The 19,607-nt window shown below is 36.5% G+C and overlaps 1 protein-coding gene across 23 annotated transcripts in view, besides 1 other annotated feature; it reads left to right on the top strand.

Annotated features, from left to right (window-relative positions):
• The window catches only part of TRPM3 (transient receptor potential cation channel subfamily M member 3), a 917,912-nt gene that overhangs the window by 563,039 nt on the left and 335,266 nt on the right, over window positions 1–19,607 (top strand). For 14 of the 23 annotated variants that reach the window (NM_001366143.2, NM_001366141.2, NM_001366142.2 and 11 more), the window contains exon 2: window positions 19,422–19,501. In NM_001366143.2, coding sequence (NP_001353072.1) covers window positions 19,422–19,501 — 80 coding nt within the window. Of the gene's footprint in view, window positions 1–14,880; window positions 14,948–19,421; window positions 19,502–19,607 lie in introns of those variants that run through there. The other 9 variants (NM_206944.5, NM_020952.6, NM_206945.5 and 6 more) reach the window with 1 other exon arrangement.
• Window positions 14,626–14,920: a silencer, noted in NCBI's record as "tiled region #13756; HepG2 Repressive non-DNase unmatched - State 3:PromF, and K562 Repressive non-DNase unmatched - State 24:Quies". NCBI's record gives its function as "represses a minimal TATA promoter and a strong SV40 promoter by Sharpr-MPRA in HepG2 and K562 cells {active_cell/tissue: HepG2 | K562}" and the evidence as "EXISTENCE:reporter gene assay evidence [ECO:0000049][PMID:27701403]".

Below are 19,607 nucleotides of genomic sequence, written 5' to 3'. Positions count from 1 at the left end.
CTGTACTTGTCTTGCAAATTCGGCCTCTTTCCAAAGATAAAAATACTCTACCTTAGAAGCCACCAGACCCTGCCTTCTACATGAAAGAGTGATTGTATCTGGGTAAGAAGTCCTTGCTTTGGCTTTGCCAGTTACTAGTGGTGTGAACTTGAGCAAGTCTCATCGCCCCTCGATGTCAGCTTCTTCTACCATAGGGCTCAGGTAAATCAAATGAAATGCTCAATCTGTGAATTGTGAAGAAATAAATTTTCTGGTACCTTTGGCTCATATAAGTCTACCATTACCTTTTTCAACTATATTATGAAAATCACTCAAGTCACTTCGAGGAGGAGAAATTAATGTGGGCCTAGAAATTGATGAGAATTGGAATGGGAAAAGCATCAGAGACCACTTTCTCAAGCTCTCAGTCTTTCATAGGCCACTTGATTTCTGTCTTATACACAGCATTTCTGTTTCTAACTGCACAAGCACTATAGAGTACTCATAATACATGTAATCTCCTCTCTCAATTTCTGCTAATACATGTGTAGTTGCCTATTTGGAACTTTCTCTGCCTCAAGACCTGTCAGCATTAATTTTCCATGCCTCCTGTAAGTTTCTAAGTTCAAATTTCAGAAAAGGGATTATAATTGGTTAGTTTCTCTTTGAGGGAAATGCAAAAGTCAAAAGTAGTGACCACTGGTGGATTTTTTGCTCCTGAGTCACTCACTACCACTGGTCCATTGGTCTATTCAGCTATGACCATGGGGATGGGTGTGGAGGTGATATCATTGTAAAAATGGCCACGTGTGGTCAGAGAGGTACTGATGGAGATCTCTAGGAAGTACATTGGTTTGAGAACTTCCCTATAGCTCTTGGATTTTGTACTCTTACATATATATCATTTTCAAGTTTGTTACTCTCCCATTGTTATTATGTTACAGGAAACACATATGTTCAGAATGTTGTTTTTGGAAATGTTTCCATGGTTTAAATTGTACCCAGTCAAGAACAAAGTCACCACTCAGTAAAATAAAGGAGTCGACCTTCATTATCCTTTATTCTTTATGGTATTATGAAGTCATTGAGAATAGTTGCCATGACCTGCAACCAAGCATCCTTGCACAGTCACTTGGTTAAATCTTTCAAGGTGCACTACCTCAACAATTCAAGGTAGACCTCATATGATCAACATTATAAAGTAGGGAGACACCAGGAGTGGGCTACTTTATGCTCTAGCTAAAAATAACTTCCAAGAACTTGAGAACAGGATGATAATGTTATTTTCAGAGCATACTTTATGATTGTTTAAGATAATTCATTCATCTGTTTTCAGGAAGGCAATGTGTTCCAGAATACTCAAAATTTCTTGCTAAGTGTGAAGTTTTGGTGTCATTCTGAAAAAAATAAAGTACCTGAATAGCCACTTGAAAAAAACAAAAACCATGACCTTATCTGAGGCCTAAGTCCCTAAGCCTTCACACCTGCAGTTTTGTGGGTATTCTAACAACCAGCAATGAAAAAGACAACCAAAATTGACTTTAGAAATCCATTTACAGCCATTCCAAACAGCTTTGGCATTTCCTCTTAAGAGATATAATTTATGTAAGCTCATGCCAGTGTAGCATTTTCTACCATCTGATTTATGACTCTGCTAGAAATATGGCAGACCTAGGAGTCTCAGAAGGATAAAGACTCTTTCTCTTGCAATGACACCATAGGCATGTAACAAAATGAGGACCTGGTCATGCCAGAGATTAAGTTAATGTGTTTGGTAGACTAACTTGGGCTGAGCACTCTGTGTGGCCAAGGATTTATGAAATAATAAATAATTTTACTCATTGATACAATCCCTTTAATAAGTTGAGTTGACTCTTAGTCTTTTGGCTGACACAGCTACTTAACGCTCTGGCTAAGAATAACTTCCTAGCACTTGAAAACTTGATGATAATGTTATTTTCAGAACATACTTTATGATTGTTTAAGATAATTCATTCCTCTCTTAAACACACATACTGAGCCCCTCTAAATGCCAGATACTTAGCAATCAGAGGAGACACAGTCCCTACCCTCAATGTAGTTAAAATGTGACCAAGGGAATAAAGAGATAATTTCAGGAAACAACAGAAAAGTTGATGAGTTTGGTCACTTGAGAGCAATGGGGGAAAACTCTAAAGGCAGTACTGTAAAGGAAACTGCAGAAATGCAGAAATGCAGAAATGGCCAAAAGCACCATTGCAATGTCATCTTTTGTTAGCCCACAGAGGAGATGTAATTATTCTGCTAAGTCTTCGTTTGCTATTTGAGAGCAACAAATTAAACCCCACTAATCTACCTCACTCGATGGTACTTACCAAACTTAAGAGGCTTCAATTATCAACAGCTTAATAAACTTACTAATCTGCATTAAATGAAATCCTTTGCAAAATCACATTGAAACAATGCGTTAAGTCATAATCAGCCTGCCTGGTACCTACAGCCTGCTGTGGCTGAGCCCCAGAATGCACTGTGTAATCAAATTCCATGTTACTTAAATCTCAGAAAATTCCTAATGGGTTTTTGTATGGGGGTGGTGGTAGGGCGGTCACATTAATTCATATCGTGCTTTTGTAATCCGAAGAAAATTGACATTTAGGTGTAAGTCAAGCAAGAATGTAATTTAAAACTGCTTAAATTCAGCCACCTATTATGATAAAAAGAAAGTTTAAAGAATATTTTAGTCTCTATATGGTAAGCCAGTACCCTATGCTAACAAAGTCCTCACATGATACTCATAAGGAATCCAGGGTTAGATCTGATTATATGAATGTATCAAATTATCACATGTACCTGAAAATATGTACATCTAATATGTATCAGTTAAAAAAAATTTAACAAAAACTTGTAAGTCATTTTAAAAAAAGAATCCAGGATTGTCATCATGTTTATCAATGCTGACCATAGTCCCTTGTGAAGTAACAAGAGATAGGAGTATTCTTTATGTTTGCAAAAGGAAAAACTGAAGCAAAGGAAAAATCTGTCCCAGTCACAGTTGGGAACACAAGCAGGCTACCACTTCATTTCTCTGTTTGTTCTAAACAGGCCAGGTGGAAGAGGACTGTAAGAACAGAAGCACTAATTGAGTGACTTAGGCTTCATATAAGTAGCCTCTAAGTTACTTGTATTGATATCTGACACAAAAGCTCAAGTTGATAGTAACACTGTCATGAGGAAGCTATCAATGAGGTCTTAAATGTTAATGAGCAGAGCAGTATAGATGTGCCATCTAAGAACACAAAGAGAGCCATAAAATTAAGCTGAACAAAGCATTTCAGGACTTTGTCCTCAAATTTATGGACTAATTAATCATTTAAACCTGGCCAGGGTGCACACAACTATACACACATGCAAATACCAACTAAAATCCACCTGTTTAGGACCCTGTGGGCACAATTTTATTTTTTTAACATAGAAAATATAGAATTTTCTAATTGGGTAAGATGAAAGCTAGCAAGGACCATCATTTAAAAACTACCTAAGAAATAAAAGTCTGAACTTTTCCATTATTGTGAATCACACTGACTAAATTTATTTTTCAGGTTAGTCTGAATCTGCCTTTATTTTCTAAGGCTTAAAAAATCTTGAGCAAAGGGAAGGTATAACATGTGATCTAAATTCAGTGGGAAAACATAATTGATGGGCAATTATACTGTTTAACAAATGGCTGAATTTAAATAATGATATCTACTGACATTAAGAAAAAAATGTTCTGTACCCCTACAATAGCATTTGATAATCCAGAGCTTTCCTAAGATTTTTTTCCATAGATCATGAAATATTAATTGGAAGGCACAGACATTCAAGAATGATAGTGTGGACCCCTTATCCTTCAAATGAGCTATTAGGCTATAATGCCAACAGAAGGCAGGGTGGAGATTTAATACATAATTTGTCTTTTATCAGTGTTTTCCAGCATGTAATCTGTAATGCAGAATTGGTGAATGCAATACTAGGAGTGTGTCTACCAGATTCTAACAGAAAAACCACATGCATGTGTGTGTGTCTGTGTGTGTGCACACACAGGTGCAGCATGAATTGCACATGTGATTCAGTGTAATCACTCAGTCAATTCAATGACAGTGCTTTAAGAGACGGTCAGTTACATTTGTCCCAATATTTTAAGGCTTAATGGTTCCATTTATGCAAAACATGTTAGGAAAATAAAAGAGCAAGGTGTTCCATTAATTCACATCTGAAAGAATGTTCCATCTACAGCTAACTACTCTATTTTTTGATAACTGTATAATATCTATTATTTTAACAGATGTTTATTGAAGTTCTACCAGATGCCAGGCACTGGGGTGGGGAAGGGGTTGAAAAGGTAAATAGATATGGTCTGGTCCCTGCCCTAAATGAGTTAGAGAACATCATGAGAATATAGGATAACTGCACGCTATTAGTCAGGATAGAGAGTGTTAATGGGCAGGCGAAAGAACAAAGTACTTAGAAGTCCATTGTAAAGATTTAGGAGAAACAGAGAAAGGAAAATTTAAATCTTAAAATGTAGAAAGTATGAGAACAGGTAATTAATTTGCAACTACCTCTCTGAAGCTATGGAAATAAGAAAGGACACAAATTTAATTAAATGAAATGCAACAGTAATCATTTAAGTGCTTACTCTGTGCTGAGAGCACTAACTCTGTGCCAGGCCCAGCTCAGATACCTCTCCTGGCCCAAAGTGACTGTTCTTTCTCAGCATGCCTGGCATGTGTATTTACTTCTCTGTGTCACTGAAGTTATTCTATGTCCCTGTATTTTGCCTTCCAGCTGCATCACATTGAACCAGTAGCTTAACCTCCACTTCCTCAGTGTCCTTATCTGCAAAATGAGCATAATAAAAGCACTTACTTCACAGGTGTATGATGAGGTCCAAATTAGTTAATACATGAAAATAATTAGACCAATGTATGACATATTGCAATAGCTATAAAACTGTTATTGCTGCTATTATGAAACGTTATTGTAATCTTTACTCCCTCTGATTGATTTTCCTCCAGCACAGGGTGTTTTCCCAACTTAGATGTAAGGGAATCATCTGAGAATCTTACTAACGTGTAGGTGCAGATCCAGTAGATCTTCCGTTGGGGGCCTATGAATCAGCACTTCTAACAAGTTCTCAGATGCTACTGATGCTTCTGGACCATGCACTGCACACTGATTAGTGCCTTGTGGTTCATAAACTGGTGTTGGCCCACAAACTGTTTGTGAATGATAAGAGTACAAAAATTGAGAATAAGCATTTAGAAACTTATATGGCAATTTGTTGTTGCCACAAAATCCATGTGCATAATCGATTTTATGGCATGTTATAAAAGTATCAGTTTGTAATGTAATGGATTGAAATTTTCTTTTAAAAGATTCTTTACCACAAATCATTTAGAAGCATTGTTCTAGAACACAGCATAAACGTAAAAACAGATACAAGGAAAGCCTTGTACCTCCTCAGAAACTAAAAGAGCTTTGCACAGGTCAGTGTTCAACAGATATTTTTGAGTGCATGAGTGAATTAATTAAAAAATAAGTAAGTACAGCTCTGATGGCTCATTTTCAAATTCTCCACGTAATGACTAAAGTTGGAGCTCCAGGTAGCATCGACTTTAATGAAGTACAATTAACTCCACAGCTATGCTTCTGTTTACCTTTAATCTTGATAAATTAAAGACTTCTGCATTAGAACTGTAAGCAAAGTGAAATGTTTTCTCTACCTGATTCTCCCCTGTGAGATATTAGATTTGTGCATTTGTAAAAATGCATGCCCGCTTTCATAACAATTCGCTTTCAAATCATTAACATTGGAATCAACAGTGGGATAAGATACATACACACAAATATGTGATAAGATATATACACATTGTGGCCTCAAGTCAAGTCAGTATTTAATGTTAATGTGCACATCAGTGTGTCATGTGGCATTCAAAAAAGTAAAGAGAAAAAAATAATTGTTCAAACAAAAGAGCCATATTATTATTTGGGGATCCAACTAGTACAATAGTATATAATATACCATCACCAGTGGTGACAGTTTTAATGAATAATCATAAATAGTGTTATATATAGCTTCCCAGAGCCAGGAATTTCATGGGAGTGTGTGTGTGTGTGTGTGTGTGTGTTTTATGATTTTCTCTTTGCACTTAGGTCGCCAACGGAAAACAAGGTATCATTTACCAGAAAGAAGTTAGTTTTCTACTAAATATTGGAGAAAGGACCTAAGATCTCTTGCAAACGTAGAGTTTAAATGGATAAATGAATTAGGATACTTGGTTTCCACTCCATGATTTCCCAGTGATTAATGAGTTTATAATTACCTTACATCCAAAATAATACCACACTTATCCCTCATGTCCCAAACAGGAATCTTAGAATAAATCACATTATCAAATAAAACAATCTGTAGGGAGTTTCAGTTCCCTGGAGGGAGGTAGTTCTGAAATTGCTACTTACAAAAATTTACATTTGAAATATCAAATTTCCAGTAATCCCTCCCCCAACTCCCATCCCAGGTTATGAATATTTGTGTCACTTTAAAGAAGCAATAACCAGATTAAAGACTAACTTATAACATGATATTTTTACCCTTCTATCTTTTTTATTTGGAGCAGTTGAGGATCTAAAATAATGTTGACGTGGCTGGAGGTAGTGAGCTGAGTCGACTTGGCATAGACAGTTTGGAGAAGTGAGCTAGGATGTGACATGTAAGGCCGGTGAGATCCAGTAACGAACCTGGGCTCTATTTTGAAAGTAATATGAAATCATTGAATGATTGTGGAGTGTGGGAGATGAAATGCCATGAGCTAATTCGTCATTTTAAAAGACCATTAATAAAACTATTTGTTATGATATTAATGATGGATATCTGATATTATGCATTTGGTAAAAGCCATAAAACTGTACAATACAAACAGTGAGGCTTAATGTAAGGTACAAATTTTAGTTAATAATAATGTATCAATTTTCCAATTATAAGGAAGGTACTACACCAAAGGGAAATTGTGGAGAGAGGTGGAAGGAGGGAGTATATGAGACTGTATTTTCTTCTCAACTTTTTTTGTAAACCTAAAACTGCTCTAAAAAATAAAGTCTATTAATTAAAGGGGAAAAATGATAACTTGTTGCTGGGTAAAGAATGGGTTGTGGGGAACAATTAGAAAGCCAGCACAATATTCTTTTTAAAATTAGCATAGCTTGTCTCAGAAGAATCCGATTATCAGAAATTCATTCTGGCAACAAATATTCAGAGATTAGAACTCTACATGAGTGTAAGGGTGAGATGGTGGGAAAACAGAGAGGAGGAAAAAAAGTCATGTTTCCATCCAATGGAACAGAAACAAATTGGAAACTAAATCTGTATTTTTGTGCTATCTTTGAAAATTATTTTTATAATGTCTATCAGAAACTCACTTTATCTTTTAAAATTTTAATTATTTAATTTTTATAATTTTTTAAATCGACTAATCATACATATTTATGGGCTACATAGTGACTTGGGGTACATATAATGTATAGTGATACTACTAAAATTCTTTATACCTACATTTGAATTGTGATTATTTCTACATGCATCAAATTTAAATTAATATATTTAAAGTTTATATATATATATGTCTATATATGTATATGTCTATATATGTGTGTGTGTATGTATGTATATGTATATATATTAGTGTCTTCTAGGATGTAAAATATTCCAAAAAGATTTAATATTAACACACTGAGGTAAGAATAAATCAGTAAGATATAGGCTTTGGTAGTTAGTCATAAGGAAAGACATTAACAATATTTTGAAGCTAAGCCTAATAACCTTGAACAACCTTAAAATGGTCACATTAGAACAATATAACCAAATTAAAGACTAGCTTATGATATTTTTACCCTTCTACCTTTTTATTTGGAGCAGTTGAGGATCTAAATCTGCATAATTCTGAACTTATGCAGATGGATTTATTTTCTACCTAACAATTTAGTAATTTGACAGAAAAATGCCTATCAGCCAGAAATATATTTATGCTGCGTTAACTTAATACCTAATAATTTTTCATTTCCAGAGAGTTATAGAAATAACCTTACACTTATATTGCTGGATCTGTCTGCTTATAAGTTTCTTCTGATGACACAAATGGGATTGATTTGTTATCAGTTCCTCCAGTTAAATAATTCTTGTTTGTTAGGTCAAAAAATATTACAAATCTTGAGCAGTCTCTGCATATTCTGACCTGAATGATCTTCAAGATTTGATTTATCATTTAGTAGGGGATGAGGCAAAAGAATACCAAGTTCTACTCTTGGAAATTCTCTCTATGGCAGAGTTATTAATTAATTGTAATAACATCTTAATAATATTTGAAGTGTCATTGAAATAGATTAAAATTTTACACATGTGCCAAATTGTTCAACCAGGGCATTCTTAAGGATGATTGGAGTCTGGTGAGAATTATTTCAGGAATTACTTATTAATTCAAATCTCTTGTGTACTCTGCACTAAGTAAACACAAAACTGTGTGCTCTGCTACATTTTTGTTTGTTTACTTATAAAAGAAATGATTGCATGAATTTATAAAAATTAAAATTTAAAAAGATCTCTTATTTTCAAAAAAGGCCCTATATATACCTTGTACACGTTAATGAGGGACTAACAATAAAGCTGATTCCCAGAATCCTAACTCTAGGAATTGGGGCTGACCTTGAAGATCACCAAAATTAAGTCACTCCTCCAAGGTCATGTCTAGTTGTAAGCAAATCACGGCTAGGATGCATATCTTGAGACTCCTAATCGGTCATGCGTCCCCCAGGTTCTACCTTACTATTGCTTTGAATGGATACAGAAAATAGGGATTTCAGAAACAAGATCCGACAGCCAGATTTAAGTCTGTACCTTGTGAGGATAAATAATTTGACCTCAGAATTGGAATCATCCATTGACTAAAATAAATCAGCATCTCTACCCAGAACACTTAATAGTAGTTAGGAATGATAATAAAGAAAATAAAAATAAAAATGGTGTGCATATATAATATACATGTATACATACATATAGACAGAGAGAGAGAAAGAGATTGATTTTTTTTTAGTAGTTAATCCTTACATGACCACTCTACTATGAATGCTATTGCAACTTTGTAACTATTTTTTCATTCTCACTTCTGGTTTGCCTCTTCATCCTTCCAGGGCCAAAGAGATAAACAAAATTCAGCTGGTGAATCTATGATATTATTTGTCACATAAATTCCACATTTCTACCTAACATAAAATGTTCCAATTTTATGACTCAGCACATTTCTTTGGCTGCTAACAAAATCAGAAGGAATGAATTGTGAAAGCTAAACAGAATTAAGGACTTAAATCATGACATTATGTTGCTGCAACTCTGCATTTACTTGACAGAAAACGAAGTTATAATTCCCACCAGCATAGCCTCATTTTTACTCTACACCAAATATATGAGGGCTTTGGGTCCACTGGGCTAAGCCTATGGCTGACGTATAACTTTGGCATGATGCTTAACCTCTATAAGCCCCAGATTTTTATTTGTATCCTGGAATTTTATAATATCTACCATACAATGTTATTAAGATTACATGAAATTCTATATGCCATAGCATTCTGGGAACTGCAGAATAATTTATAAATATAACATATTATTGCCAAGCAATGATTAATTGCCCCATAATGAAGAAACAAATTTCCAAAGAAACAGAAGTATATTTTAAAATTATTTATAAAAATGCCTATGTAGAATGACATGCTACATGAACATTCTGAATATATTTAAGTATGATTTACACAGCATGACCTATTGACAAAACATGAGTTTAATTTATCATTGTAAATCATAATTTATTGAATCTTTTCCCAATCAGATGATAAAAACATAATCTAACCTAACATTATGTTAAGGTGTATATGATTTAAGTTTAGAGGCTATAAAGTAAATTTTAGTACAAATAACTTCAGCCCACAAAGAGATTATTCCCCTAGGGTGAATTATAGGGATGAGAAATTGATACCCCCCAAATAATGATAAAAATAGGAGAAGGAAGAAGGGAAGTGTTCTAGGTGAAATTACAACACTCTGGTTATGCCATAGTAGACCTAGAATACTGTAGATTTGCAGTGGAAACTGGCAACAGATGATTATACATGTTGGAAAGAAAATAAGTATTATATCGTGTGACTCTTCCCCTAATGGAAGTGTGACCAAAATAGGGAAGAGGAACAATGGTCATGGTGATTCACTCTGGCAGTGGCCAGCTAAGCCCATCAAGGAACACAATGTTTCATGCAGAGTTTTAAAGAATGCAGGGGCATTGATCGAGTAGAGAAGGAAGAACCTAGCATTTCAGATGAAGGGACAACATATTCAGAGTTTGAGAAGCCTAGAACAACATGGTTCATGAGGGGAATAATCAATAATTTGGTTTGCTGGAGCGTAAAGTGTACGAAGATTTGTACAGAAATGAAGAAATTTGAAGAAAGATACTTCCAGAGCCAGAGCCAGACTTTAGATGCTGAGCTGACCATACTAGGGATGGAGAGCCACTGACTGGTATTGATCAGGGGATGGCACCATTGATTGTTTTGGAAAGAACACACTGATGGCAGTGTTCTCTGGAGGCAGCTGGCTTTGTCATGGTCCTCTGCCATTAATTTTGTAGGCCAACGGCAACCCTAAATGTTAGAGAACACAATACATTTATTTCCAAGCATTGGAATAAAAGCAAGGAGCCTGAGGGACATTTAAGAGCGCTTGGTCCTGTGTTTCTCAAACTTGGGTCACTTTTGTGACATCATCGTGATTTTCTCTTATCCAAAAATCATTTTTACTCTAGTTTTTAAATATTTTTGATGGGCTCATTTTTTCACAACTCCAAAAAGGAAAAAAATATATCTTCAAGCACTAGTATTTGTTAAATTTGCAGGTTTAGCCATTCCTTGTGTATTGTATATTAATATAAACCTAACTATCAAAAGAAAAATGCTTATCTGGGCATTTTTAGGATGGTACCATCTGAGTCCCGCCCTGAAATCCTTCTTTAGGAAATGCTGGTCAACCTGATGCCATCATTTTCCAATGAAGAATTAATGTGCAAGGAAATCAGATGATTTGCCTACATCCTCTATGTGCTAACCATGTGCCACAGTTCTAGGTGCTGGGGCCACATCATCTGGGGCAACATCAGATCAACATCATTGAGCTCTTTTCTCCCCCAGTTTGTCCACTTATCTAGTCATCAGTTACAAAATCACTGCCCTCAGGAACTTATATTCTAGTGGGGGACACAGACAAAAAACAAACCTACAAAGACACAGCACAATGGCAGGTAATGTGAGGGACTATGAGGAAAATAGGGGGAAGCATAGGAATAAATAATGACACGGTGTGCTTTTAGATAGGATGGTCAAGAAAGACCTTTGAGCAGTCCAGATGTGTTGAGAGGGTGAATTGTGGCATATCTGAGGATGGTTCTATCCAGGTACAGGAATGACAGGAGCAAAGTCCTCTCAAGGAGATCTTGCCTGACATGCTTGAGAAAGAGCAAAGGCAAACTAGTGATGGTGCCATGAAAGCCTGTCTATTAAGACCACTACTACTCCTTCCTGCTTGACACCTCACCACTCACACCCCTTTTTTCTATACCAAGGGTTGACCAGGGCCAGTTCCAGCCTACTACCTGTTTTATTGGAACAAAACCATGCTCATTTGTTTACTTGTTGTTTATGGGAGTTCTTATGCTACAACAAGAGTTGAATATTACTGCAGAGACTGTATCGCCCTCAAAGAGCCTAAAATATGTACCATCTGGCCCTTAGCAGAAAACGTTTGCTAACCACTACTTTATATCATGCTCTTTAGTTGATGCGGTTGTCAAATGCGAACATCCCAGAAAAATACTGCTTTGGACATCTTTATAATAATGAAATATGCATTTTCCATGTTAAAATCTCGTTACTGATGGTAGAAAATCTGATTTCACTTTTTCAAAACGGAGTTGTGTACCAGTAGAAACTTTTTAGTATTTTATCTTCAGGTGTGATTTTTCTTTAACAATGAATGGGAAGAATAAGGTATCTGCCATTGCATAAAGAAAAGAGTGAGGAAGAAGCACAGTAAGCATTACCCTTGTGGTTTTCTCTTGTTAGTATTCAAATTACATTCACTCTAAACTACATCTGAAACAGGTTGATAATATACCCTGTTGGGAGTTGCATTGTCAGGTGATGCACAAGATTTTATGCAGATCTATATGGACAGTGTGGCCTAGAGCTACAAGTCTCTTTGGAGCTAATTACCTTCTTAAATCAAAGGGTCCTAAAGATAATCTACAACCTCACATGAAAAAGTTGCTGTGCTCACCTGGGACTTCCTTTTTCACTTAAGCAAAATGCCCAGGGTTCTGGCAGCAATATTTTTGTTTTTGGTTAAAGTTCATGGAAAGCTCCTCTTATTCTATTCTCTATTGAATAGTTATTTATCTTTATAAAGGGAAAACAAGACAAAAACAAGTAAGACTGGAGAGAATCGGGTAAAAAAATACATAAGCAATATTTAAAGACTCCGTATACATGTAACTCAGTGTTTAAAGTAATTCAGATGAAGGGTTGGAGTAGTATCTAGTGAAGAAGGAAGTTGAAAAAGATGAACTGTTAAAATATTTCTTACATTGAGAATATTATCTACAATCAATTTATTTAGTCTCACAGACCCACTACAGCCTACTAGCTCAGTGTATCTTTCAGGTGTTTCCCTGCCCACCCACTCAGCTCCCACCTTCTCATTTCCCCCACTTTCCTCCTCTTCTCCCTTTGTTTCTCTAGAAAACTCACCCTCCACATTATAAAACTTTCTTTTCCAAATCTTCCCCACTGATCCCTCTATCTTTTTACTTAATTCTCCTTGCTTTGTCTCTTCCTGAGATACTCATCCGTAATAACCTCCTATTATCATATGGTTAAGCTTGACAGTTGAAAAAAAATATTTTCTGACTATATAAAATATAGTTTTCTGACTATAAACATATGGTTACAGGAGAAAACTTTGGAAAACATGGAAAAGCAAAAAGAATAGAATAAAAATTAGCTACATAGTTACCACCTTAAAAATGTTTCCTACCTATCACCTCTGTATCTATTTAAAATTTATAATTTTTCCACCCTTACTGTTTTATGGCCTGCTTTTTTCACATAGCAACATGAAAATGTTTATTTCTCTACGTAATTAAGCAGTCTTTTGAAACCTGATTATCACCACCAAATGGCATGAAATACTGTTTATTTGATTCATCTCCTGTTGATAGACTTCATTTGTTTCCACTTTTTCTGTATTATAAATAACACTGCAGTGAACATCTCTGTGTGCTCACATCTCTGATGATTCCTTTGGAATAAGTGCTTGGGAGTGTTACAGCTGCAGAGAAGCAAGTTTATATATGTCATTAAGGCTGTCACCAAGTGTTATTCTGTAGCCAACTCCTGAAGACAGGCAAAGGGACTTCCTCCATCATGTGTTTAAAGCTAAAACTAAGTTTGATGTTTCATTTGGTTCTTATTTATCATAATGTTTCCCCAACTGAAAGTCACTAGGTAGTTTATTGTTTCTTTCTCTGGGGAAACCTTGCAAGTTACAGACCAGAAAATGTGGGAGTTTGAAGAAGATTGACCCTGGAAAGAGCAGAGGGCTAAAAAGATGGCTCAGGACCGAATTCAAGTTTGAAATAAGTCATTCGTTTCCCAGTATTATGCTTATTGAGTGTCCACATGACACGTACTAGGCGCATTAACAGAGGATTACGGAAAAATGAAAACCAAAGCCCCATTGCCCTCACAGATTTACCATCCACAAGAAAAGGGAAGAGTGCCATCTCTTAGCACTTATTTCTGTGTTTGGGAAGAGAAAAGTCCTTTGGAGATGAAGTGCTCATATACTCACTTTTTAAAAAGTATTTTTGCCTTCTTGAAATTTAAGCTCTTTTATCTCCCAGTTTGTTCACTTATCCAATCAAGAATACTATTATCTAAAATATTCACTCTTGGATGATATATGAAAGAGCCCTTTCTATGTGACTGAATACCAGCTGGAATCTCTCCATTGGGCCACCCCAAATAAACATATCAGGGCATCACAACTTTTGATCTGCATCCATAGGCCACCGTGGTCACAGCTCACCTCTTTTTAATAAGGAAGCAGGACTGTAGGTTTCTAATCATACATTTGCAATTGCTAGAGGGGCAGCAGGATAAGAAGTATGATCGGAGAAGTTTTATTATTGACATTTTAGAAGTTCTCGAAGGTCCCCGACAAACTCCAACTTCATTCTTCTTAGGCCCATGTTCAGGGACCAAAATATTCTACTGAAACATTCAGAGATTTTAGCAGTTTCTCTTTAAAGAAATGCTACCATTCCATTCTTTGGGGATGGTGGAACAATGCCGCTTGTGTGCTCCAACCACTAGGATCATTCATACACTGTTTCTTTAGAAGGATTTGCTTTCCAAAGTTGAACTTTCAGAACTCAGAACACCTTATCACACTTTCACAAGCTTTCTCTCTGAAAATGGAAAAAGAAAAAGGGAGGGAGGGCGGGGGAGCCTGTTAGGACCTGTGCCAGTTAAATCCGATCTCTCCGGGGATTTGTTTTTCTTCTGGCGTCAGATTAGATGTTCAAATCAAGCAGTGTTTGAGGGCTGGGAGGGAATGTCCATGGGATTCTTAGTGAGGCTAATCCCGAAGCAGCACATTCCAAGGGGCTAATCTGCCCAAGTTCATTGCTTACTTGAAACGTCTCTTGGGGGAAGAGCCGAACAAGTGACTTTTTTTTTCCAGTGGGCGGTCATAAGAGCATTATTAACGGAATGACCAGCCCTAGCTGCAGCAAAATGAAAGCAACAGGAGCTGCTCCGGGGACTGCTTTTGCCAGTACCCAGAATCAGTGCTCAGGTAAAATGATTTCAGCTAACTTTTCTCTTGTTCAACTTCTCAATATTGGATCTGGGGACCTAGAGGAAGACCAAAGATCAACACCGAGGGAGGCTTGGAGGGAAAGGGCAAAACGAACTTATGAATTTAGTACCTTTGGGTTGGGGATGTTTGTTCTGATGAAGACAGGGTATACATTTGAAACAAGAGAGGGTGACAATGAGAAGCATTGTGAAACTTTTCTTGTAATTTGTTCCTATAAAGTTAGTGGACCCTTTTTCCTAATCTTGCAAATACTGGTCTGAGTGGTTGTCCTTCTGTTAAGCTGCCCTGCTGAAGAGGAGATTGCAATAGCACTTTCCAAGGCTTTTTGGAAATGGGTTTAATATACCCTGTGTGTGTGTATGTGCTTGTAAATCTTCCTGCCTGGAGAACTTGATTCGATAGCTGGTGGGGAGGACATAGTAAGAAGATTCAAAGTAGTTTGGGGACTAACATTTGTAGCAAAGACTTTGTGAAAAACATTGAATCCTGCTTAAATGAAATGACTTAATTTTTTAAAGCAATATTTACAGACTTGTTTTTATTATTTTGATGCTTTATTGACTGTATATTTAACTTTCAAAATTAGTAGTTGCTTTATTCTTTGAGGGTAATCATTATACTTTGTTCAATGTGAGTGTCCTCATTTCTGTCTTGAATATGATGTCTTTTAATTATTAGCCTTTGAAAAACACTTCCCTATTACACATCACACATGACTGATAATGCAGAAAGACAAGAAAGAAAATAACCAGCCCTTCACAAACTCAGTCATGGTTATGTGACCATTCTACCTTTAGAAAAGAATATACAGAGAGGTTTTCTGGGGGCCATAGAAGCCATCTTTTCTAAGCGTGCATGAGACTTCCAAAGCATATTTAAAAAGAAAAGATTTTAAGACATGATGTCTGTTAAAGTTTTGTATTAAAGAAGAATTGAAGGGTCAGCTAGAAACACAGCACATCGAAACTATTTCATGCTTTCTAACAATGAGGATAACTATTCTGAGATAACTGAGTTGGATGTTGAAGCAAAATATAAAGCTTCATATAGAGTAGTTCAAAACCTTCAAACAAAGAAAAGGAATTTGTTTAGGAAACAAACCAGTATTAAACGTCAAAATGCCCTCTCCAATAAAATAAATTTAAAAATCTAATATATGATGTTCACACTAAAGACCTGAATAAAAGCATGATAAAGCGAAGCTCACAATATAGTAATTATGCATGATATATTGGAGAATTCCTAATTCATGTGTTATACCTGCATTCTTTCTATTGTGTCTTATACTTTTCTACTCAATGAAAAAATCCAATTTAATCATGAATGATGGGAAGACTTCTTAATGTTCTGTTTCTCTTTTGTTTTCCTCCCAATTTTCTGTGACTTTGCAAGGGAGATGATTAATCTGCTAATAATAAGATATAGAAACGATTCTCAGTCTTTTTGCTAACAATGATGTAGCGTTTCACCTTTGAGAAGGTAATTAAGTAGCAAAGCTACACACAAATTAAATTACTTTTTTACTGAAACGCTAACTAGCTGGCAATCCATATGTAGGAATTCTTACCACCCATCATCTGACTAAAACTTCCAGTGCTTTCCAGGTTAACAATGGGATCCATGAGCAAGAGAAATAAGGAAGGTGTCCTTGAAAAGTCTCATCCATTTGTCTTTGCAGCACAGATTCTTAAGTGAGGAGTCTTGTGCTTACATTTCTTTGCTGTATAGCCATTTCTCAGATTCTGGTGTCTTCCTAATGTCCTACCTTCATCCTTTACCGCAAGGAGAAAAGAAGAAGACATAGCAGAGTATTCATTCCTGCGCATGTGGGGACTAGAAGAGGGGAATGATAGGGGGAAAGAATTAGGATGAACTGGTTCCAAGACCTGTCTCTGGGAGCCAGCTCTGTCCAAATGCCAGGATACTCCTGGGCATGCTTAGATAGTACTGCCCATAACAAGGGTATTTCATATCAATAACATCTAATGTTTTAATGGCAATTTAGCAGAGTGGGTAAGAGTGTGAACTCTGAAGCCAGACTGTTCAAGTTCAAACCCTGGCTTTAGAATGTATTGCTGCATCTCTCTGCCTCAATTTCTTCACTGGAAAAATGGATATAAAAGTAGTACTTTCCTCACAGAGTCAGATAAAGCCAGGTGCTTTATCTGAATCATCTGGTTTGATTATCCCAACAACTCTTCAAAGTAGCTGGAATTATCCATGTGACATAGAAGAGGTTCCAAAATGTTAAATAAGCTTCCTATATATCTTGTTAGTGGCCAGCCAGGGCTTGTGGGTTCCTATCATCCCCAACACAAAGGGAGACCAATTTCATAGTCCCCTCATCTGAGCCTTCATCTGAACTTTTAGTACCAGAATCAACCCTGGACAGGTCTCTCTTCTTGGAGCAAAGCATAGTACCCCCAAAATCATGACAACAATGCTGTGTTGCAGGTATTGCTGTTGTCTCCATTTTATAGATGAGGAAAACTGAGGATCAAAGAAATCATGTAACTTTCTCCAGGTCACAGTGTCCCACTCACACCATTTTTTCTAAATGCAGACCTCATGCTCTACCCATGGTCAAGGTTGTCCCACTTTTTCTCAGGGAGTATTGGTCAGCACTCTCTAAAATTCCCAGATGCTCCCCCACAAAAGAGCCTTCTGAATGTTGGCCAAAGTTGAACACAAAAAGAGAAGGAAAGTAAATTCTCCTTTTTTGCTCTCTAAAGTGTAGGAAAAGTTGGTTTCAAATGTCCAGTGAAGAGCATTTTACCCTCTTTCTGCCAAGAGATATTATCAATGAAAGTATTCAGTGTCTGGAGAAAAATCATGGCCTATGAATAGTTTAGCGAACAGGCTTTTTACAAAGAAAAAGACTGGCTGTCTACGCTGCTAAGCTCATTTTTGTTACAAAGAGGTAGCCACTAGCCTTTTCTACTTGTTTGAAAAGAAAAATATTTGAGACTAGACATTGGGAATTTTTCATGTTTAGCTGAAAGGCAAAACTGCAAATGTTACCTTTGTGGTGTGAGAATGCAGAGGCCCACCTGGACCTGAGGGTCTCTGAGGCACGGTGGGTGCTCTTTTCATGTGGACAATGCATGAACACCCAGAAATGATTCCATCTGATATTCACCATTACTGAAACAGGATGCAGTTTCTTTGTGCCCCTCAACCATGGCTCATGTTGCTCCTTGTAAAATGTGCACTGTCACGAGTATTAGGCAATTACTGCCTTCGGTGCCACATGCTTGCCTAAACCTCCCTTGTGAGAGAAGAGGGAGGTGCAAGACTGAAGTACTGAGGACCAACCAGAATTTAGCACAGCTTATAGACATCTGAGTCATTGGCAGAGTCAAGATTAATTATGGTTCAACACATGGGGGCTTATAACAGTTAACACCATTGAGACAGGTCAAATCAACAGCTCAGTTGTGCTTTAGCCCTGTATATAAGAGTATGAATTTAGTACTGATGCTGCATTAGAGAGAAGATGATGCCATGTAGAAATAACATTAAATGTTGCTCTAGCAACTTCCATCTTAAAGGCTTAGAGAAGGAATCCTCTGAGCAGCTCATTGAATTTCATGGGAGACTCCGCTGCCATTGCAAATGCTGGTAAAGAAAACTATGAAGGGATGCAGGATGGACAACTGCTTTGGAACAGAGATTGTACAGTTTTCCGAGACATCCTTTGTCCACATGGGAACCCAATCTCAGTGGCAGGACTTCTGGGTGGATGGACCCAACAGAGCCCATTCTAAGAAGCTGTATATGCTCTGCTGAAGGGCGTGTGGGGCGCACAAGAAAAAATGTGCTATCTTACTTTTTTCCAAAGGCATTACCTGTAAAATTTTGGACTATGATAAAAGCATTTATCTTCCTCATGCTTTTATTTTCCTCCCCCCCCCCAACCCCCCTGTACTTAGCACTGTTAATTAGAAAAAAGCATAGTGATACATTAGGGCTTTTGAGTTATGCAATTCTCTTGCCATTTTTCTTTCCTTCTACAAGGAAAATCTAATGGAAGTGTCAGCTGTGAAAACCTTATGCTTATTTAGATGCATTTCTTCCCACTACTGAATACTTGTTTTCTATAAGGTTACAAACATACTATTCTATCCCTCCAAATTTATTTTCTCTGCAAATAGCATTGTCTTTCTGTTCTGAATTTGTACATGATTCCATCACTAACTTTTTTTTATTATGGTCAGTTCCTTTAATTCTCAATATTGTGATGTTAAATAATCTAATCAGCAGGTACGGGAAGTAATTGATTTTGTTATATTTAGTGTTTATGTGTGAAATAATCACAATTTCAGTTCAATTTGTGATATACTAGTCTCTTATGTGATTATGAAATTTTGCTTTCTAGTTAAAAATATTTCACGGTATGTTCACCTTTCTTTCTTTTTTCTTTTTTTTTTTTTTTTGTTTTCTTTTTCAGGCTCAGAAATCCTGGATAGAAAGAGCATTTTATAAAAGAGAATGTGTCCACATCATACCCAGCACCAAAGACCCCCATAGGTAATCTTGCTGTCTATAATGTTGAGAACATGAAGTAGTAATTATACAAAAAACCTGCAAGAGTAATCATGACCTGTTACAAGGGAAACACTGTCAAATTAAATAT

Source organism: Homo sapiens, chromosome 9 (assembly GCF_000001405.40).
Source record: "Homo sapiens chromosome 9, GRCh38.p14 Primary Assembly".
Lineage (NCBI taxonomy): Eukaryota > Metazoa > Chordata > Mammalia > Primates > Hominidae > Homo > Homo sapiens.
Note: the sequence above shows the minus strand (reverse complement) of the source record. Positions and strands in the feature narration are given on the sequence as shown.